Genomic DNA, 27,533 nt, shown 5'->3' with positions numbered 1-27,533 from the left:
GTTTAATCCCAACTCTGTCATCTAAAAGCTCTAGGACATTGGAAAAGTTATTTAAATCTTATATATATTCATATTCAAGATGTGGATAATAAAACTGTTCAGCTTGCAGAGTTGCTGTGGAGATTAAATGTGAAAATATGTACAATGCATAGCACATGTCAAAGAAATGACGTTTTCTGTTGGAAATGTAACTAATTTGGGGCCAATTGTTCAACTTTCTTGAATTTTTGAGAAAGTAGAAAATTAGCAAATTTTCAAAGTCATTTCATAGCCAAAGATTGAAAGACGAGCTACAGGCTTGATATCCTAAAGAAACTTCTTTTCTTTCCCAAGCTACCAGGTGTGTTTTCTCTCCTTGCCACTAGATGGCAATTGCCTCCCAGGGTATTTGAGCTCAAAGACCATAAAATCCCGGAGGCCACCACCAAGGCTAACTTTTAAATTACAAAGCAGTCCAGAACCATACCCTGGTCTCTCAAAGATAATTTGTTCACTTAGTAACTAAGAAATACAGGGACCACTTCCCGAAATTCAAGGGAGTGGGAGAAGGAGTGATTGTCTAGAAGAGCAACTCAAGACTTTTTCCACAAAGTAACTCATTCATCTGACCTAGTTTGTTCCTGCCGCAGAGTCTTTGCTCTCACTGCCCCATATTCCCAGACCCTCTCCCTCCAGACATTTGTGCAGCCCACTCCTTTATGTGTTTACATACTAGCTCCCTGCCTCCATAATGTTAGTCTCAGGAGAGTGGGGGCTGTTTTAGTTTCATACAGCACACTCAACCTCAAGAATAATGCTTCCTATGTAGTAAGTGCTCAGTAAACATTGGCTGAATGAAATTTAAATGAATACCCAGGACTCTCAAAAGTTGCTCGTCCAGTAGCTGGAAAGACACCCTCCCTCTTCTCAAGAAAGCAAATCAAGATGCAAGTGAACCAGAGATGGTCAATGTCCTGCTAATGCAGGGCTGAAGCTTCAGGTGGCTTCCCACCCGTCACCTCTGGAAATCACATCTCATCTCCTACGTTCTTGGGGCCTTCAGTGACAATAAACTAACCTGAGATGATGGGTAAAAGTCAAGAGTGACCCCTTTCTTTCCTTATCAATAACATGCCTTTTAATAGAGTCCTTCTGGAGAGAAAGCTGTTCCCAAAACCCATCATCTCTTTCCTGTAGTCTTTTATCTACACCTTCAGGTCTCATAGGTGCTTCGGATGGAAGCAAATGCAGTCTCTCTTTCTATAAACTGTCCCTGAGAGAGGCACCCCAATCCCTGGACTTCAGATCAGTACTCCCCTTGGGCCCCATATATAATCATCATCTCCTGATAATCTCACCTCAAGTCGGCCTCTGTATTCCTCTTCCCCATTCTCACTGCCGCCACCCGGAGTCAGGCCCTCCTTTTCCTAAGTTGGTGGACGGGAAATAGGCTATTTAATGAAATGCATGTTTCTGGCCATGACATTCTGCTCAAAACCTCCCAAGGACCTTGTAAAACCAGCTTACATCATCTCCTTATGCAGCCTTCCCTGCCCCTTCCTCTCAGAGCAGAATTGACCCTCTCCCCCTTGTGTCTCTGCTGTGCTTCATGTAGACTCATCTCATACCATCTGTTCCTCTTTACTGCAGTTAGCCAGCTGCTTCACCTCTAGACTAGCGGGCCTTGATCATGTCACTTTTTATGTCCAGTACCTTAAAAAATCCCTGACTTTCATCAGCGTATCAATACCTATACTTGGTTCTCATTATGCATCAAAAACAATCCGAGCCTCTTGCTCTATCATTAACAGTAACCAGCTTGTCCCTTCATTAGTCCCCCATACATCCCATCCACTCCCAGCCAGGCTGAGTGTCCCTCGGTGCCCCTGTTAGCATGTGTCTGGGACCACCTAAAGGGTCCTGGAGAAAGGCCCCTAAATGGTAACGTTCAGTACATGATGGCAGATTGTACTTAAAATGGTAGATGTTAGAATATAGTTAACTGGAGGTTCTAGAGCCAGACCACCTGGTTCAATCTCCCTTCTACCACTTACTAACTTGTGACTTGGGAAATTATACCACCTTAACCTCTCCGTGCCTTAGTTTCTTCCCTGGCAAAAAAGGTAGCAATAATAGTACCTATCTCATAAAGGTTTTTGGAGGATTAGAATGATACAGATAAAGCTCTGGAACAACCTTGTCACATAGTAAGCATTTAGTTAATTCTGATTATTATTGAGTGTCTGCTATATGTCAGTCACAATGCTAGAAACTTGACATATATTACTGAAACGGGAAAACTTCCCTTGCCCCCCTCATGGGGCATGCAATGGAGGAGTGGCTCGCCTCTTCAGTGCCTCACTGCTCAAGCCTCTAGGGGGAGCATGCAGACGGGCAGGCTGTGGGGCTTCAACCCCACGACAGTGTCTAGGGGTGAATGTTTACAGCTGAAACCCTAGTGGGCATGTGTTACAGGGTGTTCTTTTAGTTTAGCTGTTTGTAGGCGGCTTCTGTTAGCTCAATTAGACCCCTGCCTTATCACAAGGACAGAGGGTTTTCTGTATCCCAGGTTCTTGCCTTGGTGTACCAGAAGAATCAGATCACGCATGGGCTTGGAGAATGAGTGCAAGGTTTTATTGAGTGGACATATCTCTCAGCACATGGGGAAGCCAGAAGAGAGATGGTTTTCCTGTGGAGTTGGGCCGCTCGGCGGCTTGGGCTTTTCTCCAACTGCCGCCTTGTTCCACCTGTTGATGGCCTGCTGGCCTGCCAGCATCTGTCGTGTGCTCTTCCTCCAGCATGGTCCCCTCCATGTCCTCTCGATGTCCAGCCACTTGTGTCTTCTTCCACCGATGTGTTTCTCTTAACTTCCAGCAGCTTGTGTGTCTGCCTGCTAGGGCCTCAGGGTTTTTATAGGCACATGATGGGGACATGGCAGGCCAGGGTGGTCTTGGGAAATGCAACATTTGGGCGGGAAGGCTGGAGTATCTGTCCTCACCTAGGTCATTGGGCACAGGCCAAGGGTGGAGCCCTCGCCAGGGACCATGCCCTTCCCTTCCCAGCACTTCCCTTCCCCGCTTCTATATCATTACTTCTCATACTTACAGCAACACTGGAAGCGGGCAGTACTTTCTTCCTTCAACCAGTGAAAGGGCTGAAGTCCATAGAGATTAAGTATCTGTCTCAAATTCACATGGTCAGGACATTTCGAAGCAAGGATTTGAATCTACTTATGTGATTTTTGCCATACCTGTACTATTATTTACCAAATAACCTTTAATTTGGCTCCTTTTCCTTTAAATAAATATAATATATTAATAAATCTAAACTTCATTTCATTTTCACAAATAAGTTTGATGTGTTCACTAATTCTCCTCATTCACATAATAAGTTTACAATAGTTAAATGTTTGTCCACATTTCACCTAAAAATATCAGATATTCCACAGTAATTAGTAAAAATATTATATATTCCACAGTACATGGTACTAAGCCATGTTACTTAGCCTGTTTTTACTTATATGCACTTCACAAGAATAAAGTAATCACTTAACTTATAAATTAAAAGGACTTTAAAAGCAATCTAAGCCAGGAATAAGTAGCCTTCAATTTTTATGTCAATTTTGACGAATTGAAAATGGCTGCCCAGAATAATTACTGTGTTGGACACAACAAGAAATAACGCCATGCTCTCTGTGCACCGTAGGCCCAGGAGCCTGGAGTGAGGGGACTGGCCACATATTTGCCATTCTTTGTCTAGTCCCATCTACTCAACTTTTCAGAGATGATGCCCCATTAACTCTTCTTCCTCCCACCGCCATTACTTTACCAGATAACCAGGAGAGCCATATTTTACCAAGAGACACAGTAAGTAAGCAAGGAAGGAGACTGGCAACTCTCCTGATTCTGCAGTGATGGCACCTTAGGAGACACACAGGGAACTTAGGGTCATCAAAAAGGCAATTAAAAGGGCTGACAGACAATGTGCTGGATAGGACATCCAGGCAAGGAGAGTAGAAAAACATCAAGGAGCTGTAACAGCCAGACACAATAGGATCCTGGCAAGTAAATATTGTTTAATGTGATGACTGTGTATTAAACCTGAAGTTAGCATTTAGCCCCTGTCAGTCAGCCAGCAGGATGCCTCTAAGTGCTTACTGGGGCTCTTGTATATATATATTTTCTTGCTCCAACACATACTTAAGGCAGACACTGGGTTGTGGTAAAGGATCTCTTTTATGGTTATTTACTTGGACCAAGTTGTTATGCCCATGCAGACAAGCCTCTACTTATTTGGTCTCATTTGAAGGATTAAAAAAAAAAATCTCCTACTGATTGTCCCTGTATAATTCTTCCTATTCTTTCTGTTGTTAAAAGGAAGGGAGGTTTGTTCAGTGCTTAGGATCTCTCCAAAATCTACAAAAGAAGAGTCAGAGGCCCTTCCTCTTCTGGCAAGACTAGATCCCTTTTTCAGAAAACGTCTGAAAGATCACAGTTCAGAAAAGAGTTAACATAGCAGACTTGAAAACTGCTATCCTTAGAAAGCCCTGCTTACAAGGTTGGCCTTTAGGCTGACATCTGGAAACTTAGATTTCAGAAGATTCCTACCATTCACTGGCAAGAATGGCTCACTGTACCTAAACTGTGCAAATATGGTTTACAATGAACACCTGCTTTCCTTCTGGGAGTCTGGAATTTGGGTACATGGCAGGCAGAGGCAGGTAGAGAGGGCATGCCCCCAGACCCCAATGAAAAACCTGGGCACTGAGTCTCTAACGGGCTTTCCTGACGGACAACATTTCACACTTGTTGTCACAACTCATTACTGAGAAATTTAAGAGTGTCCTCTGTGACTACATTAAGAAAGGACCCCTGGAAATTTGCACCTAACTTACCCTGGACATGCACCTGTTCCCTTTGCCAATTTTTATCTGAATCCTTTCACTGCAATAAATACTTGCTGTGAATAGGACTATACATTCTATACATTGAGTCCTATGAGTCCCTCCAGGGGATCGTAGAACCAGTAGCAGACCAGGGGAATCCACTGACACAAGCACTTTTGCTTTTCTGTGCTCTGGGAATATAAGTATATGGGTCATGACCAGAAAACAAACAAACAAAAATTGAGCTAAAAATATGAAATTTAGCTATAAAGTGTGAACTCCATAATCATCAACTAGAGAGCTGATCTATGTCTTGGACAAGTGGGGAAACATGGTGAATTTCCTGTAGCAATTGGAGAAGGGGTATTTTGCCCTTGAAAAGCATCATTCAATTTATGATCTGATCTTGTACAGAAGAAGAGAAAGTGCTATATAAATAAATACTAGTTAACACAAACAACCTCTCTTGAAGTAGAACCACCTCCAAACTAGAAATCTAAGATTCCTCCCCACTTTTTTATAAAAGCCTGCCTTCCATAAAGGCCTTTAGAAAAACTTAGACCTGAAAAGGAGCTCAGAGCTCATCATTCCCTCTCTTCTCAGTACAGAAATCCTCTTTAGAACATTCCTATCAGGTTATCTCTTGAGCACTTCCCGTTCACCCAATGCTTCTCAAAAATTTCCTCCAAACTACTCGAAGAAAATAAATCTTATTGGCAGAGTAGTTACAGGTATAGTTCAAATCAGATTTGAAAAGATAAATATCTCTGAGCATACCTTGCTTTTCCTTAAAATTTATCTGATTTTTGTTATTTCCTCACATGTCTGTGTTTTGTGGAGATATTCATCACCATTTTAAAAAGCATGCCTCAGGCCAGGCACTGTGGCTCACACCTGTCATCCCAGCGCTTTGGGAGGCCAAGGCAGGAGATTCGATTGAGCCCAGGAGTTGGGGACCAGGCAGGGCAACATATCAAGACCTTGTTTCTGCTAAAGATAATTTTTTTTCCAAAAACTTAGCCAGGTGTGGTAGCACATTCCCGTACTCCCAGCTACTAGGGAGGCTGAGGTGGGAGGATAGATTTAGCCTGGGAGATTGAGGCTGCAGTGAGGTTGGAACACCATTGCACTCCAGCCTGAGAGACAGAAAAAAACCTTGTCAAAAAAGAAAGAAAAAAAAATAATGTGGCCAGGCGTGGTGGCTCACGACTGTAATCCCAGCACTTTGGGAGGCTGAGGCGGGCGGATCATGAGGTCAGGAGATCGAAACCATACTGGCTAACACGGTGACACCCCGTCTCTACTAAAAATACAAAAAATTAGCCAGGCGTGCTGGCAGGCGCCTGTAGTCCCAGCTACTCAGGAGGCTGAGGCAGGAGAATGGTGTGAACCTGGGAGGCGGAGCTTGCAGTGAGCTGAGATCGCGCCACTGCACTCCAGCCTGGGGGACAGAGCAAGACTCCGTCTCAAAAAAAAAAAAATAAACAAATAATAAAGTATGGCCTTAGAGAGATTACTAAAGTACATTTTTATGTAACTTTTTTCTAATTACAAAACACAAAAAAAGTACAGAGAGAAAAGAACAATACCTATGCATAATCCCTGCACTCCTACCGCAAGATAACTGCTTCTAATATTTATGTGCCTGTCTTATAAATTTTTATTTTAAAGAAAAAAACAGCTATAAGATAGTGTGATAGGTTCTACTTGCAGAAAAAAATATATGAAAGAAAAAAAGAATGGAGAATTACAATCTTAACAGAAGAAGTGCCTGAAATCTACTTTGACTAGAAAACCTAGAGGTGAGAGAGACAGAAAATTAAACATAATAACCATGTTTTCATTTTAAAACACACCTTTCAAGTAAGGATCCAAATGCTTCAGATATACTAGGCAAAGATGGGGTCCAAGAAATTTAAGAAAGGTTGTCTGCACATGTATTCACCTTGATTCTTTGTTAATGTAAGGTTTGGTATCTATATACCCTTTAGTTATACTCACTCAGCAGCTGTCAGCAGAATCATTACACAGGTTAAGAAACAGCAGTGTTGGGAATTTATTTTCCAATGACATATATATACAGGTCTTTCCAAGAGGTAGAAAGCTTAGGTCTCATAAGACAAATAATTGTGCTTATAAGGCATTAGATTTCGTGGTTGGCCAGCTGAATAGGTCCATTTCAAGGTCCTAAAAGAAGTAGATGTTGCACACACACACACACACAAACACACACACACGCACACACACACACGAAGATGGGTGAAACTCCTGCTGAACAACAATATTCCACCAGGCAACTGGCTAAAGGAGTGGAATTTACTTCAATGGTTGGAAACCTAAGGGCATCTACAGTGTTTGAAAGAAACTGAGAACTTGCTTTAGAAGTCCAAGTTTTAGTCCAAGTTCTGTCCTTTACCATCTGGTTGTCTTCGCAAGCCATTTCACTTCTCTGAGCCTGTTTTCCCATCAATAGAATGGGTATAACAACGTCCACCTTGAATGATTGGGGGGTTACATAATTTAGACGGCCTGGCATGTAATAAATACTGCATAAATGTAGCCCAGAGAATTGCTACACTGATAAAATAAAACAATACATGTGAAAGCACTTTGTAATCTGTATAGTTATCTGGGAGTGGGAGAAAGCCAAACCTCACCAGAATACTATTGTTTAGAACTAAGGATTACATTTAATAAGGGCCTCATACATCAAGGAAGGCAAACAGATTGAGACAACTCCATTTGATGAGGAGCTGCTGTCTCGAATGCCACATTGTAAAAAATATCCTGCAGCCATGGGTTCAGAAGGGACAAAGAAATACAGCATTAATGCCAGTTATTGTAGCATAATCGAAATGAGTTAGAGCTTGAGCCCAGCGGGAACTTACAGAAAGACGTTCTGCCTACACCCCGGCTCCCTGATCTGCAGCTGCACCACTGAATGTTGCAGAAAAAGGTTTCATGAACAGAAAATGGCAATCATAAGACTTGTAGGGTGTATACGCTCTTTTCAAGTATATCTAAGTGCATGATCTCAAGTTACTGGATATCAGCAAAAGAGAACAGAGAATATTTCCAGCCACAATCCAAGGACAATATGGAGTATCAGTTTCCACTAAATATGAGATTAATGATAGCCCTACTTGATAGGGTTTCTATGAGGAATAAATTAGATGAAATACATAAAATACCTAGAACAGATCTAGCATGGGGCAAGCGTTCAATAATATATAACTATTATTATAAGGATAAAGATGTATTATCTTTTGTTTCAATAATTCACAATATAATTTGGGATTAGGTTGCAAAATTGATGAGTAATGTGATACTCAAGTCAGGTAAAATTATTTATTAATAATCTCTAAATTATCAAGACCTGCAGACTTGGAAGCTCCAAAGCAAATAATACATGACTTTAATCACTCTTTGTCTTTCAATTGATACCTCCCTTTACCTAGGGCAAGGGAAGCTTCTGTTTTAATGGAAAGGAAAAGAGGGAGGACGGAAGGAATTGAAGCTGGAATAGGCTTGTACAATGGGACAAATAAATATAGTTTTCACTCTTTATGACCAATACATACAGTTGGCTTCATTTTACAGTTGGCTTCAAGTTAACAGTGCATGTGATGCAAATCAATTTACAATTTTCCTTAATAATTAAATCAAATAGTAATAAAATACTTAAAGCTGTCTTTTACTATGCCTCAGTCTGACAACGAGAGATAACTACTGCAAACATAATGAATTATGTCTTCTGGTATTCAACTTCATTTCTCTAAATAATGTGCTTGTGCATTTATTTCCTAATTAATGTATCTTATACATTATCTAGTGACTTCTGTTAATATTAGCTCTATTACATTCCCACCAACCCTCCACCTCCTTTCTTCCCTACACTTCCTCTTATATCACAGTGTTTATATTTTTATTATGTAAATATTGTTTATTTCCAAGTCAAATAGTTTATTATTATTACATTCCCATTCACATACAGTTTTCTGGTATTTCTTTTTCTTTTCTTTTTTTTTTTTTTTTTGAGATGGAGTTTCGCTCTTGTTGCCCAGGCTGGAGTGCAATGGCGTGATCTCAGCTCACCACAACCTCCGCCTCCCGGATTCAAGTGATTCTCCTGCCTCAGCCTCACAAGTAGCAGAATACCAGCTACTTACAGGCATAGTTAGTGATTGCTTTATTTATCATTGCTACTGATTACAAGCATAGTTAGTGATTGCTTTATTTATCACTGCTTGGTTTTCTGTGCCCATTCCAAGTTTTTTTCAAATGCTGCAGCTGTTTTGATGTGTACCTATCAATAATTATTTAACTCAAATGCTAGCCAACCATTTAATTTAGTTATATCATTTTTCTCTTTCAGGATGAAACTGTCCATCCAGCTCTAAGGAGAACTGGTAGCTTCCTTGCCCTGATGCTTAGCTGTTTATACTGAAACTTCCCCTCCACTTCTCTCCTGTATTGGATCCCCTGATTCCTTGAAGTAATGTCTATTTTTCATTTTACCCTATCAATTGCTAAAACATGTTCTGCAATAACTTCCTGAGAAAAGATACATGAAAAATTAGTTTTTGGACTTCTCATGTATCTTGATTGATTGATTGATTGATTGATTTACGGGGTATGGAAACCTAAGTTGAAGTCACATCCCCTTAGAATTTTGAAGGTATTTCTTTACTATCTTCTAGAATCCTATATTTTAGCCATTTGAATTGCTATCCTTTGATTGTGACCTGTTTTTTCCTCTATAACTTGATGTGGGTTTTTTTGCATTTGTTGATCTGGGTAATTGGTGGACGCTTTCAGTCTAGAAACTTTCAGCCTTCAGTAAAGAGAAATTTTCCTATATTATTTATTTGATAATTTCTTCCTTTACTTTTTCTCAGTTCTATCTTTCTGGATCACTTCCTTCATTGGATGTTTGTTCTCCTTGTTTGATCTCCAATTTTCTCATCCTTTTTCCTTTGATTTTTAACCTCTAGTTCTATTTTCTGGACAATATCTTTCACTTTATTATCTACATTTTAATAAAATTAACCGATTCATTTGTATTAGTCAGGGTACTTAGGTGCAATGATTAGAAGGAAACTCTGGCTCATAAAGCAGAAAGGGAATGTACATAAAACATTTTGAGTAGCTTATAGAATATTTGCAATATGAAAGAACAGACGTGGAGGCTACAACAGCCAAGAAACCAGAGCACCCTCAATACTTCTCAGAACTTAATCCATAAAAGCATTACTGTAGCCCTCAATGGGCATAGCTTGCACTGCAATGCCACCAACACTGGGTGCTGTGTGGTGTCACTAGAATTTCTTCCAGTCTACCACTGGAGGCTGGAAGTAGCTGAAATCACAACTTCCAGACTCACCAGAATGGATCTGTGTGATACCTGAGTCTTCCTGTCACTAAATGCTAATTCAAATTCTGGAGAAACTGACCATGCCCTAGTTACAAGCAAATGTTTGACATTTTTGGTTTTAATATTGGAAACTGGCTCTGCCTCAAAAGGTAGGGAATCCCCCAAATGTATGATAAGGATTCAGAGCCTGGGCAATCACAAAGGATAAAAATGTCCACTGAGGTCCACACTTAATCCATCCTACACCAATGTTCACCCTTCTTCTACACTTCTAAAAAAATGCTTCTACATAGCATAATGCAATGAAAAATACCTTGTCCAACTAAAAAACATGCTTATCCTTTGCCCTAATATTTAAAAAGCAGTAAACTCAAAGTCTCACTGTTATTTATTGTTTCCATTCCAAGACCAGGATCTCTGAGTAATGTTCATGCTTCTCCGGTTCTATACTGATAACCTTCTATTCAATATCACATAATCTTGGATTAATTTGTGAATTTAACCAGAATGAACAAACATAAGGTAGTGGGAGATGGGGGATAAAGGAAAGAAAAGAAGGCAGTTCAACTGTCTAGGATATTTATTATTTTCAATGGCAAAACTCGCAATTACTTTTGCACCAACCTACAATAGAAGAAAATATTGGGAGATGCGGCTGTCCTTATTTCTCCAAATCCCCATGAAACTTGTGGCAGGCTGAAAAATGATTCTTCAAAGATATGTCCACATCCTAATCCTTGGAACCTGTATATGTTACTTACTGTATTTGAATACAGAGTCTTTGTAGCTGCAATTGAATTAAGGATCTTGAGATGAAGAGATAATCCTGGATTACAAACATGGGCATAAAATCCAATCATAGGAGTCCACGTAAGAGAGAAGCAGAGAAATGTTTGACACACACAGAAGAAGAAAAGTCAATGTGTACACCAAGGCAGAGATTACAATGATGTGGCCACAAGCCAAGGAATGCCAGCAGCCACCAAAACGTAGAAGAGGCAATAAATGATTATCCCCTAGAGCTTCTAGAGGGAGTATGTTTGTTCCTGCTGAAACCTTGATTTTAGCTCAGTGAAACTGATGTCATATTTATGGTCTTCAGAATTGTAAGAGAATAAATTTCAGTTATTTTAACCAGGCTTGTGAGAGGTTGTTAACAGCAGCCACTGGAAAGGAATATGAAGCTACAGTAGAATTTAGGATTTTCCTTCTCTATTATCAGGCTCAGAAGTCTGTGTTTGTCAAATGCTTCTTATGAGATTCTAGACATTATTCAGATTTTTAAATTACTTCTTTGGTAGCAGCAGCATCTGCTAAATGAGTCACTTCTTCACCACCCTGCTATTTCCTTCTACGGGGAGGAGTTCCTATACCTTTAATACTTCTGATCTGCCCATTTTCTCACTAATTGGTGAATTTGGAAGGAGAAGTTCCTTTCTTTTGGGAGCTTGCTCCCTGCACAGAGGTTTTTGTAGCTGGGTAGTTGGCTTTTAACTGCTACAACCTGAACAAAAGACTTTTAAGTCTAGGCTGCAGAGTATTGTGACTTTTGTGGATGATTATAGTTTAAGGAGGCCAAGTCCAGAGGCAGAACCTGACCCATGGGGAGGTTTCAAAGAAATGTCAGTTGAAAGCCACTGGGCCTCAGCAAAGACACTGGAGCCCTCAGGTCTCAGCAAAATCTCCAGGAAGAATATTTAGTGGGGGCAAGAAAACCGCAACTGGAGGAAGTTCACCCAGAGGCTGGCAAGCAAACTGATTGCTTTGTCCTCAGCAAACTTACAGGCCCATAGTAGGCACAGGCAGCTTCACAGTATAGGCAAAAGCAGTTCAAACTTTAACTACATGTAACATACCTGTCTGGGCAGCAGGACCTCTGCAGATGCCTTGGAATATGTTAGGAAGCCTGAGTCAATAAGAACCCCCGAGGCAAGGGTCCAGTTGTAGCGAAACACAAGTGTTTCTTCCTATAAGCCTTTGAGACATTAGTTATAGCACAACATTTGTTTTTTTAAGCTTAAAGGAAGGTAAACTCATGTGCACTACAGAGCACTAGGGAGATTCACATATATCCATGCTAGCTTTATATCATTTATCATCATTTATGTCACATTAGCTTCATATATCCATACTAGCTTTATATTATTCGTGTCCAGCCAACATAAGATGTACTAGATTGGCTGTTTCAACTTCCATTCTACATTCCCAAGGGGAAAACTGCAACAAGGTCTTAGGTTGAACTAGTAAGTCTTGTATATGTACTCAAGATCATCCTCATTCAGTGGTACCCCATTTGGTTAATTTCTTATAAGGAAGAAACCTTCCCCAGGATGCAGTTTTCTTTAACCTAAACAACCTGACAGGTGCGTGACACATGACTGACACGTCTGTGACACATGACTGACACGTCTGTGACACGTGTGTGACACGTGACTGACAGGTGTATGACACGTGTTATACGTTAATGACATGTGTGTGGCATGTGACTGACACATGAATGACAGGTGACTGGCACATGACATGTGTGACACGTGACTGACACATGTGGCACAGACTGACAGGTGTATGACACTTGTGTGACAGGTGACTGATGTGTGTGACACGTGACTGACACATGTCTGACATGGGTGACACATGACTGGCACATGACTAACACGTGTGGCACGTGACACTTAAATGACATGTGTGTGACACGTGGCTGACATGTGGCTGACACGTGTGTGACACATGACTGACACTTGGCTGACACATTTCTGACACATGGCAGGTATGTTCTGACACATAGCTGATGTGGGGGGGGGGATGTGACTGACGTGTGTGACCAGTGTGTGACCCATGACTGAATCATTGCTGACCCGTGAATGACTCGTGTGTGACCCGTGTGTGACCCCTGTCCAGCTTATTTTTGTTTTTTTAGTAGAGACGAGGTTTCACCATGTTGGCCATGATGGTCTTGATCTCTTGACTTCATGATCCACCCTCTTGGCCTCCCAAAGTGCTAGCATTACAGGTGTAAGCTACCGCACCTGGCCTCAAATGATATTCTGTTGGAAATGAGAATGGATGTACAGGTGAATATTCCTTTCAGGTATGGTAGATATGCAAGGTCATATTAGTTTCTCTTGGAGATTTCTCCCTACTCAGCTTTGGCTCACAGCATGCATTGTTAAGAGGATTCTGGAAGCTTGACATTGACCTTCTTGTGTCTTAGAGACATTAAAACAAAGAAGGCTTTCTTTTTCTACTTTTCACTCAGGAAACTTAGAGTATTTGGTAACATAAAATACTGGGTTCTAGGGAAATAACTGTCCCTGGGATAACTGCTCTAGAGCCTGAAAATTGATTTTTTTTTTAATTTGGTGAATATGGCCAGTACTGACAAATGTGTGCAGCATATTAAGATGAAACACCAAAATTGTTGCTTCAGAACAATTCTGGAGTCCATGAAGGACCCATACTCCTCCCAGGGAGAGGAATCCCAAGCTATAGGTGCCACAGGAGCCCACCCCACCCTCTCAATGAGACTGAGCAGAAAAAGAAACTGAGGAGGGCACTTTCATGTCTTTAGATTTTTAACTCACAGGAGTAGGAGAATTTAAATTACTGAGGGGATTCGATTCCCTGGAGCTTTCATGTCTTTTAACTTTAGCTTGCAAGGGGATTTAATCTTCAGGCCTTAATTCCTCTCTGGGAATTTGATGATGGGAGGAGGCTTATACCCAAATGTGGAACATCTCTATCTTGCCAGGCCTTTTACTACTACAGGGTCTCCATGCACTTCATTTTGGAGCATTTTATGATATCACTTGATCTCACTGTAGAACTTCTGACAACACTGACTAACTAAACAAAGAGCAAAGCAGTAAGAGGTGTCCTCTCCATGGTGAAGAGTGTTTTCAATCGTTGACATTATTCAGAATTGTTGGTGCATCATAATAATAAGTCACACCAAGCCTAAACCAAGGGTGGAATATCCACTGGAGGGTTTCTTCTCTTGGGAAATCATTTTCAGATAAGCCACAATTGGGAGTATAGCGGATAATTTAGGAAGGGAAATAGAATAATAGATTTTCTTAGCTTTGGATGTAGAAGGTACTTAAAATTGGTTTAATTAACATACATTTCTGACTTATTTCAGAACCTTGTAGAGGCGAAAATTCACATTGCCTCTCGATAGTCCCAGGATCAAAGCCAGAGGATCAGAGGTTGTGACTGAGGCAAGGGCCTTGTGAAAGCCTGCTGATCTCCTCCCATGAGGGGGATAGATAGCCCACTGTTGGTTAACCACAGGGTTAATGTCCCAGTCACTGAATTGATTGACCAAAACTTGAGATCTAAAAGTCCTAGCCACAGCAATTAGGCAAGGGGAAGAAATAAAAGGCATCCAAATAGAAAGACGGGAAGTCAGACTGTCTCTCTTTACTAATGATATGGTTCTTTACCTAGAGAATCCCCTAATCTCTGCCCAAGTCTCTTAGATCAGATAAATAACTTAGGCAAAGTTTCAGGATAAAAGACCAATATACTAAAATCAGTAGTATTTCTATACACCAATAACATCCAAGCTGAGAGCCAAATCAAGAATGCAATCCGATTCACAATAGCCACAAAAAGAATAAAGAACCTAGGAATACAGCTAACCAGGGAGGTGAAAGATCTCTACAATAAGAATTTTAAAACACTGCTGAAAGAAAGCAGAGATGACACAAACCAACGGAAAAACATTCCATGCTCATGGATAAGAAGAATCAATATTGTTAAAATGGCCATACTACCCAAAGCAATTTACAGATTTAATGCTATTCCTATCAAACTACCAAAGACATTCTTCTTCACAGAATTAGAAAAACTATTCTAAAAATAATTTTGAACCAAAAAAGATCCTGAATAACTAGAGAAATCCTAAGCAAAAAGAACAAAGCTAGAGACATCACACTATATGACTTTAAACTATGCTACAAGTCTGCAGTAACTAAAATAGCATGGTACTTGTAAAAAAAAAAAAATAAAAAAAAAAAGACACCTAGACCAACGGAACAGGTTAGAGAACCTAGAAATAAATCTGCACACCTACAACCATCTGATCTTTGACAAAGCCAAGAATAACAAGCAAAGGGGAAAGGACTCCCTATTCAATAAATGGTGCTGGGATAACTGGCTAGTCATATGCAGAAGATTGAAACTGGACCACTTCCTCTCACTATATACAAAAATCAACTCAAGATGGATCAAAGGCGTAAATGTAAAACCTAAAACTATTAAAATCCTAAAAGAAAACCTAGGAAATACCATTCTGGCCATTGGTCCTGGCAAAGATTTTATGATGAAGACTCCAAAAACAATTGCAACAAAAACACAAATTGAGAAGTGGGACCTAATTAAACTAAAGAGTTTCTGCATAGCAAAAGAGACTATCACAGAGTAAACAAGCAACCTACAAAATGGGAAAAAATATTCGCACACTACATATCTGACAAAGGTCTAATATCCAGAATCTATAAGGAACTAAAGTTCTAATATCCAGAATTAACAAGCAAAAAACAAATAAGTCCATTAAAAATGGGCAAAGGACACATCTCAAAATACATATATGCTGCCAACAAGTATAAGAAAAAATGCTTAACATCAGTAATCATTGGAGAAATGCAAATGAAAACCACAATGAGATACCACCTCACACCATTCAGAATGGCTATTATTAAAAAGTTAAAATATAACAGATGCTGATTAGGCCATGGAGAAAAAGGAAAGCTTATACACTGCTGGTGGGAATGTAAATTAGTTCAGCCACAGGAAAGCAGTTTGGAGATTTCTCAAAGAACTTAAAACAGAGCTACCATTCGATCTTGCAATCCCATTACTGGAATATCAGTTGTTTTACCATAAAGACACACGCACATGTACGTCCATTGCAGCACTACTCACAATAGCAAAGACATGGAATCAACCTGGACTTAGAAAGTGTGGTACATATACACAATAGAATACTACACAGCCATAAAAAAAAGAATGAGATCATGTCCTGTGCAGTGCCATGGATGCAGCTGGAGGCCATTATCCTAAGTGAATTAAAGCAGGAACAGAAAAGCAAATACTGCATATTCTCACTTATAAGTGGAAGGTAAAAAACTACTTTAAAGTTCATATGGAACCAAAAAAGAGCCCGCATTGCCAGGTCAATCCTAAGCCAAAAGAACAAAGCTGGAGGCATCACACTACCTGACTTCAAACTATACTACAAGGCTACAGTAACCAAGACAGCATGGTACTGGTACCAAAACAGAGATATAGACCAATGGAACAGAACAGAGCCCTCAGAAATAATGCTGCATATCTACAACTATCGGATCTTTGACAAACCTGACAAAAACATGCAATGGGGAAAGGATTCCCTATTTAATAAATGGTGTTGGGAAAACTGGCTAGCCGTATGTAGAAAGCTGAAACTGGATCCCTTCCTTACACCTTATACAAAAATTAATTCAAGATGGATTAAAGACTTACATATTAGACCTAAAACCATAAAAATCCTAGAAGAAAACCTAGGCAATACCATTCAGGACATAGGTATGGGCAACGACTTCATGTCTAAAACACCAAAAGCCAAAATTGACAAATGGTATCTAATTAAACTAAAGAGCTTCTGCACAGCAAAAGAAACTACCATCAGAGTGAACAGGCAACCTACAGAATGGGAGAAAATTTATGCAACCTACTCATCTGACAAAGGGCTAATATCCAGAATCTGCAGTGAACTCAAACAAATTTACAAGAAAAAAACAAACAACCCCATCAAAAAGTGGGCGAAGGATATGAACAGACACTTCTCAAAATAAGATATTTATGCAGCCAAAAAACACATGAAAAAATGCTCACCATCACTGGCCATCAGAGAAATGCAAATCAAAACCACAGTGAGATACCATCTCACACCAGTTAGAATGGCGATCATTAAAAAGTCAGGAAACAACAGGGGCTGGAGAGGATGTGGAGAAATAGGAACACTTTTACAGTGTTGATGGGAGGGTAAACTAGTTCAACCATTGTGGAAGTTAGTGTGGCGATTCCTCAGGGATCTAGAACTAGAAATACCATGTGACCCGACCATCCCATTACTGGGTATATACCCAAAGGACTATAAATCATGCTGCTATAAAGACACATGCACACGTATGTTTATTGCGGCACTATTCACAATAGCAAAGACTTGGAATCAACCCAAATGTCCAACAAGGATAGACTGGATTAAGAAAATGTGGCACATATACACCATGGAATACTATGCAGCCATTAAAAATGATGAGTTCATGTCCTTTGTAGGGACATGAAGCTAGAAACCATCATTCTCAGCAAACTATCGCAAGGACAAAAACCAAACACCGCATGTTCTCACTCATAGGTGGGAATTGAATAATGAGAACACATGGACACAGGAAGGGGAACATCACACACCGGGGACTGTTGTGGGGTGGGGGGAGGGGAAAGGGATAGCATTAGGAGATATATCTAATGCTAAAAGACGAGTTAATGAGTGCAGCACACCAACATGGCACATGTATACATATGTAACAAACCTGCACGTTGTGCACATGTACCCTAAAACTTAAAGTATAATAATAAGAAAATAAAATAAATAAATAAATAAATAAATAAAATAAGTGGAAGGTAAACATTTAGTACACATGGACACAAACAACGGAACAATTGACACCAGGGCCTTCTTGAGGGTAGAAAGTGGGAGAAGGGTGAGGATTTAAAAACTACCTATTGGGTACTATGTTGATTACCTGGGTGACAAAATTATTAGTACGCCAAATCCCTGCAACATGCAATTTACCCATATAACAACCTGCACATGTACCCCATGAACCTAAAATAAAAGTTGAAAACAATTGAAAATATAATTTTAAAAAAAAGAAAAAAAAAAAAAGAAGCAAAGGACTGTTGGGGGAAATGATTGCTTCGTCATTCCTGGTGTTTCCTTTGTAGGGAGAAAGCTCCGCAGCCATAACACATTGTTACCTACTCCCCGATGGATGAGTTGGAAGGGGAAAGTGGCCATGCCAAATCTATGTTCTCACAGTTCTGGAGGCTGGAAAGTCCAAGATGAAGGCACCAGCAGATTTAGTGTCTGGTGAGAACTGCTCTCTATCTCCAAGATGGCACCTCTTATTGCATCCTCATGTAGCAGAAAGTGTGACCAGTTCCCTCACACCTCTTTTAAACATGCTAATCCCAAAGGCTCCGCCCTCATGACTTAAACCCCCACCTCTTAATACTATCACATTGGCAATTAAGTTTCAACACATGAATTTGGGGAGGGCACATTCAGACCATAGCATGGCTCCCTTAGCGTGCTGCAAGGTGTTTCTATCACCACATTTTTCAAAAGTCTTTCTTTTTTTTTTTTTTTTTTTTTTTTTTTTGAGACGGAGTCTCGCTGTCGCCCAGGCTGGAGTGCAGTGGCGCAATCTCGGCTCACTGCAGGCTCCGCCCCCTGGGGTTCACGCCATTCTCCTGCCTCAGCCTCCCGAGTAGCTGGGACTACAGGCGCCCGCCCCCTCGCCCGGCTAATTTTTTTTATTTTTAGTAGAGACGGGGTTTCACCGTGTTAGCCAGGATGGTCTCGATCTCCTGACCTCGTGATCCGCCCGCCTCGGCCTCCCAAAGTGCTGGGATTACAGGTGTGAGCCACCGCGCCCGGCCTCAAAAGTCTTTCTTAAGACAGCAGGACAAGAAGTCCACAACCAAATGATCAGCCTTCATATGATCAATATGCCTTGAATCGGCCAAAGTGAATCCATCAAGCAACTATTACATACACTATTTTAACCTTTAGAATTCTTTTAAAGAGTACCAAAAAAAAAGAACAGCTCACTAGTAGAACAAAATAAGCAGAGTGGGAAACCTAGAAATCCAATGGAAAGCAAAAAATAATGAGGATGACAACAATAATAATGAAGATGATGGCAAAACATAGCTTGTGTTGGCAGTGGTGGTGTTTGACAAACTCCAGGAACTGAGTCACCAGCACTTTCAACAACCTATAAATGCTACAATCTGGAGCAGTCTGGCTTATTTTAGAACCATGTAATCAGCTGTGGGTCTAAAACTAGATGATGGGTGTTGACCTGAGCAGAGAACCAAAAAGAGAGGAAACAAGGTTGTATTTCTGGAAATTAAGCACTATGTTGAAAGAACAAAGGAAGGGAATCATTTATTTAGAAGTATATGTGAAAACGTAATGAGATGAAGAAAAATCTCATTCACCCAAATCCCTGTTAGGGAAAGCATCGTATTTGTCCTGGAATAGATGTCTTGATTAATAACTACTGGTCAAGGGTAAGACTCACCCCATATCCTGCTGGTGCATGCTCAAGAAACAAGTGCTGTCTGTTAAATTGTTCTGCATAGTAGAAAAGTGAGGAGTTTAAAGTTCTATTTGAAAAGAGAAGAAGAAAAGCCAAAAGATTTATGCAAGCGGAAAAGAAACCGGATTGTTTATGTCCATACCACCCAAAGCAATACCCAGATTTAATGCAACCCCTACCAAAATTCCAATGGCTTTTTTCACAGAAATAGAAAAAACAATCCTAAAATTTGTACGGAACCACATACAAAAAAAATCCAAATAGCCAAAGCAGTACTACGAAACAAAAGCAAAGTTGGAGGTATCATACTTCCTGGTTTGAAATTATATAGCAAAGCAATAGTAAGCAAAAAAGTGCTGGGTGTGATAGGTCACACCTGTAATCTCAGTACTTCGAGAGGCTGAGGCGGGAGGATTGCTTGAGCTCAGGAGTTTGAGACTGGCCTGGGCAACACAGCAAAACCTCATCTCTACAAGAAATACAAAAATTAACCGGGAGTGGTGGCACATACCTGTGGTCCTAGCTACTCAGGAAGCTGAGATGGGAGGATCCCTTAAGCCTGCGAGGTAGAGGCTGCAGTGAGTCATGTTCGTGCCACTGCACTCCAGCCTGGGTGACAGAGTGAGACCCTGTCTCAACAACAACAACAACCCCCCAAAAAAAAGGGGGGAAGGGAAAAAGTATAGTGCTGGCATAGAAGCAGAAACATAGGCCAATGGAGCAGGATAGAGAGCCCAGAAATAAATCTAAATAGATACGGTCAACTAAATTTGGACGAGAATACCAAGAAGACAGAATAAGGAACAGATAGTTTCTTCAATAGGAAAACTGGATTTACACACGCAAAAGAATAAAATTAGACCCTTAACTTACACCGTATACAAAAAGAAACTCCAAATGGATATGAGACCAAAAATGTAAGACCTGAAATTATAAAATTCCTAGATGAGAACATAGAAGAAAACCTCCTTAACATTGGTCTTGGTGATGATATTTTTTGGATAACACACCAAAAGCTTTTACCACAAAAACAAAATTAATAAATATCAAACTAAAAAGTTTATACACAGCAAAGAAAACAACAAAATGAAAAGGCAACTATGAGCTGGGAAAAAATAATTGCAAACCAAATATCTGAGGAGGGCTTAATATCCAAAATTTATAAAGAACTCTTACAACTTAATAGCAGAAAAGCAAATAATCTGATTTTTAAAATGGGAAAAGGAGCTGAATAGATATTTCTCCAAAAAAAAAGACATAAAAATGGCCAACAGGTATATGAAAATGTTCTCAACATCACTAACTATCAGGGAAATGCAAATTAAAACCACAATGAGCTATCACCTCGCACCTGTTTGGATGACTATTATCAAAAAGTCAAGAAATAACAAATGTTGACAAGGGTATACAGTGAAGAGAACCATTGTACAAAGTTGTTAGAAATGTAGATTGGTACAGTCATTATGGAAAACAGTATGGAGATTCCAAAAATAATTAAAAATAGAGTACCATAAGACCCAGAAATTCCTCTTCTGGGTATATCCCCAAAGGAGACAAAATCACCACTTCATAAAGATATCTGCACTCCCAGGTTCACTGATGCATTATTAACAATAGCTAAGATATGGAAACAACCTAAATGCCCATAGATGGATGAGTAGATAAAGAAAATGTGGTGGTGGGGTATGTGTGTGTGTGTGTGTGTACAGTAGAATATTGTTTAGGCTTTAAAACAGAGATCCTGCCACTTGCCACAACATGGATGGACCAGGAAGACAGAAGGATGTTATGCTAAGTGAAATAAGCCAGACATAGAAATAAAAATATTACATGATCTCACTTATATGTGGAATTAAAAAAAAAAAAAAGCTCAAATACACAGAGATAGAGAATGAAACAGTAGTTTCCATGAGAGTAGCAAGGTAGGAAATTGGGAAATGTAGGTAAAAGGATAAAAAATAGTAGATATGTAAGATAAACAGGTCTTGAGATCTAAGGTACAATATGTGAACTACAGTTAATAAAATTGTGGCCGGGCGCGGTGGCTCATGCCTGTAATCCCAGCACTTTGGGAGGCCGAGGCAGGTGGATCTCCTGAGGTCTGGAGTTTGAGACCAGCCTGGCCAACATGCTAAAACCCCGTCTCTACTAAAAATACAAAAAATTAGCTGGGCGTGGTGGCAGGCACCTGTAATCCCAACTACTCGAGAGGTTGAGGCAGGAGAATCTCTTGAACCCGGGAGGCGGAGGTTGCAGTGAGCCAAGATGGCGCCGTTGCACTCCAGCCTGGGTGACAGGAGCAAGACTCCATTTCAAATATAATTATAATTATAATTATAATAAATAAGAAATAAAATGAAATTGTATTGTATTGGGGATTTTGGTTAAATAAGTAGATTTCAGCTGTTATTGTCACGCAAAAAAGTAACTGTTAAATGATAGGTGTGTTAATCTACTTTACTATAGTAAGTTTTTTTGTTTTTTTTTTTTTGGTTTTTTTTTTTTTTTGAGACAGAGTCTTGCTCTTTCGCCCAGGCCGGACTGCAGTGGTGCTATCTCGGCTCACTGCAAGCTCTGCCTCCCGGTTCAAGTGATTCTCCTGCCTCAGCCTCCCGAATAGCTGCGACTACAGGCGCCCGCCACCACACCTGGCTGATTTTTTGTATTTTTTTTAGTAGAGACGGGGTTTCGCCGTGTTAGCCAGGATGGTCTCGATCTCCTGACCTCGTGGTCCTCCCACCTCGGCCTCCCAAAGTGCTGGGATTACAGGCGTGAGCCATTGCGCCTGGCCGTACGTATTTTACTATCTATACGTATCACGTAATACCACGTTGTAAACCTCAAATGTACACAATAAAAATTTGTACAGAAAAAAAGAAAGAGATCAGAGAAAAAAAATCTCCCATAATTGGCAAGAAAAGAAGGAACTGAAATAAAAAGTCATATCTGATGGTTAAACCATAGGTGAAAAAGGCATTAAACAAAGTATTTATTTAAAAATGGTTTGGACCTTGACGTGTCCTTTTTTTCTTTGATATTTTAAAAGAAAACTATAGGGTAAGCAAATGCTTGCAGAAGTTTAAACTCATGTCTCTTTAGACACAGAGACTAAGAGGTCTTTTGAGACCTTCTCCGTCTTGTGGTTCTATGACATTTCATGGAATCAAAAGCATGATTAAGCCTGAAGAACTATAATAAAAACAAGCCTCATATGTAATTATAGTATCCAAAAGTGCCTACTTGGTCTCTTTTGCTGCTGCTTCTTGTATTTTTTTTTTAACCTAAACAGCTTCAAACTGCAAATTAACATTTTAAAAAAGATCCAGCGTTCTCAAGAAAGAAAAAGAAAGTACGTACTTCTGCATTCAGAACATGATTCTGGTTCCAGGTCAATATATGTGTTACTGCTGTAATTCCATTGATGCAACAAGTATTTGCTGAACAGCTCTCTGTAATTCATATTAGATCTTGTAGGAATGGGGAATCAAAGGTGAGTGAAATATGCTTTCTGCCTTTAGAAAACTCATAATCTAGTTTGAGGGACATAATAAATAGCCCAAATAAAAGAGATAAATATCAAAATGGAGTTATCTGAAAATGCTACCTAATGAAAAATTCTTATTGGAGACAATGAAAAATACATCCATTGCAAATCTTAAGCATTGCCCTTTGTGGTACTATCATATCTTGTTATCTTTCATATCAAAATATGACACTGTATCAAGCTAGCCTTAAGGAGCCAAAAATACTACAATAGCTGATAATGCCAGATAAAAGAAAGAACAAGGCTCTGAGCCCAGAAGTTGGAGTGTAACTCCGTAAGGGCCACCAGCCTGGCTGTTGGATTATTTTGCAGTATAAGCCAAAGTGTGGCCTCACCATTCAAGGGATCAAAAGGGTCAGAAGATACTAAATACCCTAGTAAAAGTCAGCCCTTAGGAGGTGTAGCTCACCACTGCCGCTGCCACTTCATTCAGATGAAATCGGGGTAAGATGAACACATAGGAGAAAGAAAGAAATTGTAAAGAGACAACTTGCCACTTTTTCAGGATGGTCTGTAGAAGTACAGAATGACTTTGACTAGATTTGGTGATGATGGTCTTGGGGGTGCAACAAATGCAAATGCTTCAGATCATTTTAGCTCCACCAGCAATTATGTCATGCCCAGCACTGCCAGCTTGACCTTGGGACTTGGAAAACCCACAAGGTGACCATCCTTATTTGCCTATAGATGACCCTAACCTCTGCTCTTCCTACCAAAAGACACTAAAGCCAACTGGTTATTTGCAGACAAAGAAGCTACATCCCATGATCATAAATCAATGACTAACATCTGAAAGGCTTTCTGGAGGGAAAAAATTAATATTGCTTAATAATCTGAAAGCACAGCTGAGTTTGCTTCCTAATTAAAATCATATATTTTAACTAATATATGAAACCACATTAAATAGAAATCACTCAGGGTGCCCTTTCTTTCTCATTTTACTTTTTAAGTGTTCCTTTTTAATAAAATTTAGGGGTGACAGAGGGGGACACTGAATTTTAAATTACACATACAAGAATGCTTTTTAAAAAATTCAATGCTCAAAAAAAAAAAACAGGAACACCTATTTTAAGAAATAAAAGAGGCTGGGGGCAGTGGCTCACGCCTGTAATCCCAGTACTTTGGGAGGCTGAGGTGGGTGGATCACCTGAGGTCAGGAGTTCGAGACCAGCCTGACTAACATGGTGAAATCCCATCTCTACTAAAATATAAAAATTAGCCAGGCATGGTGGCGGGTGCCTGTAATCTCAACTACTCGGGAGGCTGAGGCAGGAGAATCACTTGAACCCAGGAGGTGGAGGTTGCAGTGAGCCAACATCGTGCCATTGCACTCCAACCTAGGCAATAAGAGTGAAACTCCATCTCAAAAAAATAAATAAATAAATAAATAATAATAAAAAGAAATTTTAAAAAACTGTGAAAAAAGTTACAGACAAAGACTATAATATAAAGATATGTGACAATCAGTTCTGAGGGAAAACAAAGCCAACAGCAATGTCAAAATGAAAAATGAAAGCATTAGCTAGGATTAAATTTCCCTTAAATTCAATCTCCAAGAAGAAAGAAAGAAAAAAGAATTCATTGAGTAAATGAACATAACTTTAGCTAAAGTCGAAGTTGTCATTGTTATTGCAGTAGCTCTTGAAGAGGCCACTTTTATAATAAATATAATTGTCTATTACAATAAATAAGTGCCTTTGAATAATTGTTTTTCTCACTTTATTTATTTATTTATTTTTGAGACAGAGTTTCACTCTTGTTGCCCAGGCTTGAGTGCAATGGCGCGATCTTGGCTCACTGCAACCTCCGCCTCCAGGTTCAAGCAATTCTTCTGCCTGGTCCTCCCAAGTAGCTGGGATTACAGGCATGCGCCACCATGCCCGGCTAATTTTTTTATTTAGTAGAGATGGGGGTTTCATCATGTTGGTCAGGCTGGTCTCAAACTCCTGACCTCAGGTGATCCACTACCTCAGCCTCCCAAAGTGCTGGGATTACAGGTGTGAGCCACCACACCCGGCCTTCTCACTTTACTAATAGAATAATCATATTGAAGAGTCAGAAATTTTCTTTTAAAACAGCAATAAGGAATATGAAACATGAGAATAAAATCTAGAAACTTTCCACCTGATTAGAGAAAAATAAAGTTGACGATAGATCATTTAAAAAGTGAAAATAAGCTCTGAACTGAAAAGAAACACACACGTCCCCAGGGAAAGCCCAGTAGCAAATACACCGATAGCTTCTTTCTGTTCCCTGTGGACTCCAATTTCTCAGGAATACACATTTTCAGGGAGAGCCAAGATTCTATTCTTGACACTGGAGGCAATAGAGGGAAGTCAATACCAACAGGAAAAAGTCAAGAAGTTAAAGTGAAAAATGCAAGAAAAGTCAAAACCACTCAATGCTTATCTCTCACCTCCACAAGCTCAAGCCCAGACTCTCAGTGTGGCACAGGAGACTCCGTGACCTGGCCCCGCCAGCCTCCTCTGCCTTGTCTCACCTTCCCTTTAGGCTTCAGGAACACTGGTTTGTCATGTTCTCGCACAAACCAGGCCCCCTCATCTGACTTGCTTCCTGCCGTGCCACTTTTCCTTTGCCTGCTTCAGGGCTGCCCATCCTCTCATGCTCAGGAAGTCTTCTCTCACGTCCCAGTAATCCCATAACAATGACCCTTGACCCCTGTTTTGTAATTGCACTTTTGAACGACTGTCTCTCGGATCACCTAGTGACCTGGACAGGGCTGGGTCAATGTTTACTACAACAGCATTGGATCCAGGCATGTGGCCCTTCGTTAAGTGAATAAATAACTGGGATATTTGTAAACTTTCATTCAGACATTTATTCAACTTCTGCTGGCAAAAACCTCCTAAGCAATGTTCCAGGAACTGTGAGGGTAACGGGGAAAAGAGAAAGGAAAGGAGGAAGGGAGGGAGGGGAGGGGAAGGGAGGGAATCCACAGTGAGCCCTGTGTCCTTAAAGACAATTCCTTTTAATTGTGGGGTGGGTGGTTGGGCAGGGGTAAAGGAGATAAATTTAGGATATGTTTAAAAGTTTGGGAAGGAGAAAAGTATGAAAGAGAAGAAAAACAGAGTACTCTTATAACCACTCATTAAGCTGTAGCCATTTGCTTCACAGTTCTAAGCACGTTTGAAGGAGTTCAAGTCAAAAGGGAATGATGTTGAGAAGTGCTTTGCAGATAAATTATATCTTACGATTATAATAATGACTACATAAGAAATTAAAATATAATTGTGTTATGTATGTATACATAATAACAATCATTTATTCAGTACTTTTCACTTTCCAGGCATTGTGCCAAGCATTTACACACACTTTCTCATTTAATTCACACAACTTGATACAGTAGGTATTAATATCCTCACTTCATAAATGAAGAAACTAAAGTTTAGAAAAGTTAAATAACTTACCCAAGATCACACAGCTATAGTGCCTACCTATCTTGCATATATCTAAATAATCAAAAAGATAAATAAATTAGTTAACTAAAATGTCCCATCACCATACATAAACTGACTTATCCAAACAGTAGATGTTCTTGGAAAGAGTTTGCTGATACTATTGTCTTTTACAGAAACATCACCTGTGTCTCCAACACACCAATAATTCTTCCTCAAAATGGAATGCTACCTTTATTTAGATTCTGGTTAATTATAAATGAATCACAACTAGTGAATTGTTTCCTTGAAATTTGTCCCAAAATTTTTAGGGAAAGGTTTATAAAACAAAATTGAGGTTTCAACCTCATAATTTAACCATCATGTGGGTCTTGAGACATTTATTGACATAAGTACTTCAGAATTACAAAATAGAGAGATCTAGGGCTCTGACTGTTAAAGATTAAAATAAAATTACTTAAGAAGTTTAATGAATGCAAAATCCCTTTTTATTTGCTGGGAACACTGAGCAGGAAGTTCTGTGGTTGTTTCATTGTGTGCTCATGAATTACTATGATTATGTGGTTTAAGACAATTTATTTTTATTTATATATGCTTCTTTGAAATCACTGCTACTCACATTGCCCTTTATTCATCATTTTTCTTATCTAAAAATATAAATCTTTATGTTTAGTGACTTCTTAATTCAATTAAAATCCTTTGTCTCAAAATTTTGAAATGACTGCTTTTGCAGAATTCAAGATTGAGCAGAAACATTAAATGTAATAATGGGCACTAATGAGCAATAAAACTAAAAGGCTAGAATTAAATTGTTTCAAGTCATTATCAAAATTTATTTTCAATTCAGTTCTCAATGGAAGATTCGTTGAGTTCTCTCTCCTCCCTCACAGAAACTGCGGCTGATGGTTCTGGCATTGTATGACCCAGCTCTCTTCTGTCTTCCTTGCATTGTTCTTTCCCAGAT

At 39.7% G+C, this 27,533-nt stretch overlaps 1 long non-coding RNA gene across 1 annotated transcript in view, besides 4 other annotated features; it reads right to left on the bottom strand.

Annotated features, from left to right (window-relative positions):
* Nucleotides 1-25,781, bottom strand: part of MMP20-AS1 (MMP20 antisense RNA 1) — a 46,089-nt gene extending 20,308 nt beyond the window's left edge. Inside the window, exon 1 of the long non-coding RNA NR_183620.1 lies at nucleotides 25,570-25,781. This is a non-coding gene — a long non-coding RNA (MMP20 antisense RNA 1). The remainder of the gene's footprint in view (nucleotides 1-25,569) is intronic.
* Nucleotides 3,381-3,550: an enhancer, noted in NCBI's record as "experimental_18676 CRE fragment used in MPRA reporter constructs". NCBI's record gives its function as "activates a minimal promoter by MPRAs in K562 erythroleukemia cells, with activity observed for both the introgressed and non-introgressed 11:102534171 variant alleles {active_cell/tissue: K562}" and the evidence as "EXISTENCE:reporter gene assay evidence [ECO:0000049][PMID:34662402]".
* Nucleotides 19,805-19,974: an enhancer, noted in NCBI's record as "experimental_18672 CRE fragment used in MPRA reporter constructs". NCBI's record gives its function as "activates a minimal promoter by MPRAs in K562 erythroleukemia cells, with activity observed for both the introgressed and non-introgressed 11:102517747 variant alleles {active_cell/tissue: K562}" and the evidence as "EXISTENCE:reporter gene assay evidence [ECO:0000049][PMID:34662402]".
* Nucleotides 24,228-24,397: an enhancer, noted in NCBI's record as "experimental_18668 CRE fragment used in MPRA reporter constructs". NCBI's record gives its function as "activates a minimal promoter by MPRAs in K562 erythroleukemia cells, with activity observed for the introgressed 11:102513324 or rs11607177 variant allele {active_cell/tissue: K562}" and the evidence as "EXISTENCE:reporter gene assay evidence [ECO:0000049][PMID:34662402]".
* Nucleotide 24,312: a transcriptional cis regulatory region, noted in NCBI's record as "Neanderthal adaptively introgressed variant 11:102513324 (GRCh37/hg19 assembly coordinates) or rs11607177 in the experimental_18668 CRE". NCBI's record gives its function as "modulates activity of the experimental_18668 enhancer by MPRAs in K562 erythroleukemia cells {active_cell/tissue: K562}" and the evidence as "EXISTENCE:reporter gene assay evidence [ECO:0000049][PMID:34662402]".
* Nucleotides 25,782-27,533: the final 1,752 nt, after the last annotated feature.

Source organism: Homo sapiens, chromosome 11, assembly GCF_000001405.40.
Source record: "Homo sapiens chromosome 11, GRCh38.p14 Primary Assembly".
Classification (NCBI taxonomy): Eukaryota; Metazoa; Chordata; class Mammalia; order Primates; family Hominidae; genus Homo; species Homo sapiens.
The sequence above is the reverse complement of the archived record's forward strand: the minus strand, read 5'-3'. Positions and strand labels throughout refer to the sequence as shown.